Source organism: Homo sapiens, chromosome 1 (genome assembly GCF_000001405.40).
Source record: "Homo sapiens chromosome 1, GRCh38.p14 Primary Assembly".
Classification (NCBI taxonomy): Eukaryota; Metazoa; Chordata; class Mammalia; order Primates; family Hominidae; genus Homo; species Homo sapiens.
Genome location: NC_000001.11, coordinates 106810725 through 106816989, shown reverse-complemented (window position 1 = coordinate 106816989; position 6265 = coordinate 106810725).

Below are 6265 nucleotides of genomic sequence, written 5' to 3'. Positions count from 1 at the left end.
AACCTCATTCTTGGCCGGGTGCCGTGGCTCACACCTGTAATCCCAGCACTTTGGGAGGCCAAGAAGGCAGATCACAAGGTCAGGAGATCAAGACCAACTTGGCTAACCCGGTGAAACCCCGTCTCTAGTAAAAAAAAAAAAAAAAAAATTAGCCAGGCGTGGTGGCGGGTGCCTGTAGTCCCAGCTACTCCGGAGGCTGGGGCAAGAGAATGTCGTGAACCCGGGAGGCAGAACTTGCAGTGAGCCGAGATCGCGCCACTGCACTCCAGCCTGGGCGACAGAGCAAGACTCCGTCTCAAAAAAAAAAAACCAAAAAAAACAAAAAACAAAAAAACAAACAAAAAAAAACCATCATTCTTATTCTTTGTTGAAAGAAAAACTTGACGTTTTAGGCTACTAAGAGAAAGAAGCCAGTTAAAAAAGTTAGTGTATTGTATGCTCATTCTCTATCTATAAGATGATGTTAACAACTTTAGATATCAGCCATTGATTTTCAGCCCTATGCCAGAGTTATATATCCGAGCAATTCCAGATTCCTTGCTGGCAGAGTTTACTTGAAGGTAGAGGAGTGATACAGAGGTATTTTATCACAACCACAGCCAAGCTCTGTGCATGACTGGATGACTTCTGGATAGGTAGAAATATGCCCTGATTTTATCACTTCTGAGACAGAGATAGTGCACCATAATGCAAGCTCATCACATCTTCATAACAGCTACTGAGTGAGCTTTACCCAGGAGTTCCTTCACTGTTTAATAAAAGGGAATTCTTAGAATTGTTCAAATGTTATCTGCAATATGTATAATCTGTTTTGCAGACGTACACAGTAACTCTCTTAATAATAGTATGTAATAATCACACTTCCTTCATTTCATTTTTTTCTTGAAAGAGAAAAAAATTATTAATTGCATAGTGAGTGATAAGGTGCTCTCATATCCTTCAAAAGGTATTTTACCAAAGTTCTCCCAGATCAGTGTTTAAAATTCTACAGAAGTGCAGAGGAGGTAGTGACATGATTCCTAATTTTTTATCAATGTTGTGAGAAAAAGAATGCATTGATCAGACCTACAAAGAGAAAAAAAAATATGACATGACATCAGAAAATGCCTTTTGCTTTGACAAAATTTATCAACCATGTAGAGAATACTTATGAAATTATAGATTTTTGATTTAAATTAATTTTCCAGGTTGGATACTTACAAAAAAGTAGTGATCATTCAATGTCTTTGGCCTAAGTGAGTATTTTCTGTTTTTCCTTGTTTATTTTATTTTATTTTATTTTTCTTTTTTTATTTTATTATTATTATACTTTAAGTTTTAGGGTACATGTGCACAATGTGCAGGTTTGTTACATATGTATACATGTGCCATGCTGGTGTGCTGCATCCATTAACTCGTCATTTAGCATTAGGTATATCTCCTAATGCTATCCCTCCCCCTCCCCCCACCCCACAACAGTCCCCAGAATGTGATGTTCCCCTTCCTGTGTCCATGTGTTCTCATTGTTCATAAGGTATAGTAATGATGGTTTGGATGATTCAAGGGTGAGAAGGATATTGATAGGATCATTTTCAATCTATTTGAAAATTAATATCTTTTAAGGATCACATTTTGAAAATAATCAAAGTTTTTGAAGATGCGAAAGTGAATCTTCAATATAGTATTCCTTTACCGTCAACCTTCTTTATTTTTCTCCTAGTTCCTCTTAGTCAAGCGCAAGCTAAATTTTATACTTCCGTTGTCACCTTATCTATGTAATATTATTTTCTTTATACAAACTCATGAATTCATTTTATTTTAATACCATTTATATATATGGTATTATATAATGTGTATTGTATAATAAAGTACATTTACATGGCATTTGATTTTGCTTTTTTGGTTTGTTTTGCTTACACTTTCTTTTGTGTTTGGTTACTCTGTTACTTGCTTAATGAAGTAGTAGTTTAAAAATAAATATAAGTTAAATGATTCCTTAGAAAATGATACCTAAAGAGGAGAAGAAATATAATGATGAAGAAGGATGGGAAGCAGAGTTAGGGGTTAGAGGTTTTAGATAGAGTGACCGAAAAGGACTTCATTAAGAAAATGATGGTTGAGTAAAGAAATGATGGAAAAGAGGGGAGAGCCATGTGGATATCTGCAGGAAGGGCATTCTAAGTTAACTAAAGCAGTATGTGCAAAGGACTTAAGTTTAGAGTGCTCTTCGTGTGTTTAAGAAGCAAAGGGTTGTCAATGTGTCTGGAAGTAATTGAGCTAGAGAAATAATGGGGTACCTGATTCTGCAGAGATTTATAGGTTCTCAAAGAGTTTGGCTTTTACTCTAACAGATCTGGAAATACACGGGGGCTTTATGATTGACATGATTGAACTTGCATTTTAATAGGATTACTGTGACTGCTCTGTTGAGAATGGAATGTATGGGGCATGAGTAGAAGCAGGGAAACAACTCAGAAAACTACTCTAATTATCCAAGTAGTTAAAGAGGAAAGAAGTAGTCTGAGCCTAGAAGGTAAAACTGTATATTAATTCATTAGTACTTTCTTTGTCTGAGCCCTGGGATCAATGATCAGATCCTAGAACCAGGATCCCTGGCTTCTGTTAATGGAGAAGGGTATGTAGAAATCAAGATCTGGACACTAGGCATACTTACTGCTACTGAGCTATTTCAATGAACAAGAAACAGATTATTATTACCTTTTTAAAAATGTCATGAGTACCTACTGAAACTTTTTTTAAAAATTCCAACCACAGAGGTTTTTTTTGCCTTTTCACATTCTTAGTTTGTGTTTCCTTCTCCCATAGTGAGAAGTAAGGGCCCCCAAAAAGATCAACATATTTACTCATTGGCTCAAAATTAAATACACACAAAATAGTTTTAGAACTGATACATCTATACCACTATCAAGATAAAAGTTGAAGATTTTTTTTGCAATTCTCATTGTCTTTAGACTAAAGGTATATAATCAAAGTAATGTTTACAAAATATTATTTGGATTATATTTTTTCTGATGTTATATAATCCATTTGATACACAGTATAACTTATTTTTGTTTATTTGTATTTAAATTTAGTTTGTGTCAGTTAATTTTGATTTGTTTTTTGAATATATAAAATGATAATGTGATATTTAAAGTCAAAAGTACACAAAGGACCATTCTAAGAGAAGTGCTGCTTCCTACCATCCAATTCCCATTTACTCCCTAGAGGTAGCCAATTAAATTAATGTTGAGTGTATTATCCCGTATTTCTTTTTGCAAAAATAAGCTAATACATGTATATGCCTCCTCCTACTTTTTCTTATCCAAGACACAGTAAATTATACACACACCATTGTACATTGCTTTATAACTTAATAATACACACTGAATATCATTCTATATCCCTTTATAGAGCTTCTCTCCACTCTTCTGTAGAGATTCAGGTACTCCATTGGGTGCATGACTCATAGCTTACTCAATTAATTTTTATGTTTAGTTTTTTTGTTCTTAATATTTTGTAGTAACAAAAAAATGCAACAATGAAAAACCTTCTGCATATATATTTCTCATATTAGAGCTATGTCTTCAGAAAAATTCCTAGTAGTAAGATTTCTTGGTCAAATTATAAATTAAAGTATAGGTTTTTAATTTTTATTTAATTGACAAATAAAAACTAAACATTTATTGTGTACATTTGATGTTTTCAAATATGTATATATTGTGGAATGGCTCTATCAAGCTAATTAATGTATGCATTATCTCACATCTTTTATTTGCAGTGAGAACAGTCAAAATCTATTATCTTAGTGATTTTCAAAATGCAATACACTATTATTAACTACTGCCACCATGTTGTACAATAGATCTCTTGAACTTACTCCTCAGAATAAGTTCTAACTGAAATTTTGTATCCCTTGACTTTATCTCTCCAAACCCCAAATCTTCCCAGCCTCTGGTAACCAACATTCTACTCTCTACTTCTATGAGTTCATCTATTTTTAGATTATACATATAAGTGAGATGATACAGTATTGTTTTTCTGTCCCTGGTTTATTTCACTTAACACAATGTTCTCAAGTTTCATTCATGTCATTGCAAATGACAAAATTTCTTTCTTAAGACTGAATAGCATTCCACTGTGTATATACAACAAATTGTCTTTATTCATTCACTTATTGATGAAGATCAACATATTTACTCATTGGCTCAAAATTAAATACACACAAAATAGTTTTAGAATTGATACATCTATACCACTATCAAGATAAAAGTTGAAGTTTTTTTTTGCAATTCTCAATGTCAAAATAATGCATAGAGTTAGAAAAGGGAAGACACACAAAGACTTAGCCCATTGTCTCTAACATTGAGAGGTTTAGGAAACAAAGGAGAACCAGGTAAGGAGACTAAGACCTGTTCAGAGAGGTAGGGGGAAAATGTAAAGTTGATATCCTGGAAGTCACACAAAGAACGCATTTTAAGGTGGAGAGACAGATGTTGCGAATAGGTCAAATTATTTGAGAACTGATCATGGGATTTAAGAACATAGATGTCTTTAGTGACCGTGATAAGAGCAGTTTTTGTGGTTGTTGGAGTAAAAGCCTAGTTGAATTGGGTTCGAGAAAGAATAGGCAGAAGAAAATAAACTGAACCGGAGACTGTTGTTATAGACTACTCTTCAATTTTTTTCCATAGACTGAAGTAGAGAAATGGGCAGCAATTTAAGTCTCTCAAGAACAGACACCATATGTTTATTTTTTTTGTATGTTCACAGCACTTATTCATGTAAATATATTCATAAAAAACATACATTCCTAGTTAAAAATATTCTCCAGTGTATGAATCTCCTTTATACCTTCAGAGAGAAACTAAAATGTTTTTTTCAGAAGGAAGTCCAGTATTCTCAAGATTGAGAAAGATACAAATGCAAGTAATTCCAATCTAAGACAAGCTTGAATATGTTGCCTACTCACAAGGTTGACATGATTGCTTATTTTTGGATTGATCTTCCGAACCATCATGTCATTTTTAGTCAATTGTAGTCTCAATCAGAATATATATATTTTTCTAACTTATTCATGGGAATAATGTATAACTTATTGAGAAGCCATACATCATTAAGTAAGAAAAACTGAACATAAGGTGTGGGACATTCAGTTTCTCTGAATAAAATATAGACAGAACTATAGTTGTCATGCTTGCTCAAACAAATTACTGTTCTTTTTCCTTTTTTGATTCATTAACACATTTCCATAGTCAGGCTTATTGGATTGTTGAGGTAGAATGCCTCCCAAATAGAGATGCCTTCTATTTTTTCATTCAGTTTCTTTTTTTGAATGGAGCAATTACCATAAATTACTGTATCATCCCCACCCCAAAATTATCATCCAAGTGAATGGTTGTCTTTTTGGAGATCTTGCCAAAGACACATTGGACGATGGGAAGGATCAGGTACCTCATGTTTACAAGGTCAATGAACCCTACTTATTACTAACAAATGCCTTTCAACTGAGAGGGGGTCAATGTACCTTACCGAGTTTCATTATTCTTATTTGGTAGATGGAAACAGAAAAGTAATGTAAATTTTAGTAGTGTCATATTTCAAACAACTAAGCAAAAAAAAATGCTTAAAAGTGGGAAATTTTTCAATTAAATAGAATTGCTTTATGTTCATGTAATTATTTCATAAAGGTGAGAAATTGTATTTATTGTTTATTTTTATATTTCTCCTTTGAAAATAAATATTTATTCCATGTACTTTATTTTTAATTGGAACAATTAATTAATTAGAGATGAACTCCTTGACATATTTGGCTATATTGTGCCTGTTTAGTGAAGGCAGATGATATGGTTTCGTTCTGTGTTCCCACCCAAATCTCACCTTGAATTGTAGTAATCCCCACATGTCAACAGCGGGACCAAGTGGAGATAATTGAATCATGGGGGTGGTTTCCACCATGCTGTTCTCATGATAGCAAGTGAGTTCTCATGAGATCTGATGGTTTTATAAGGGGCTCTTCCCCCTTCACTTAACACTTATTCTCTCTCCTGCCACCCTATGAAGAGGTGCCGTCTGCCATGATTGTAAGTTTCCCGAGGCCTCCAAAACCATGTGGAACTGTTAGTCAGTTAAACCTCTTTCCTTTATAAATTACCCAGTCTTGGGCATTTTTTCATATGAGCATGAGAATGAAATAATACTGTAAATTGGTACCAAAGGAATAGGGTGCTGCTATAAGGAAGGATATATGAAAATGTGAAAGCAACTTTGGAACTGGGTAAAAGGT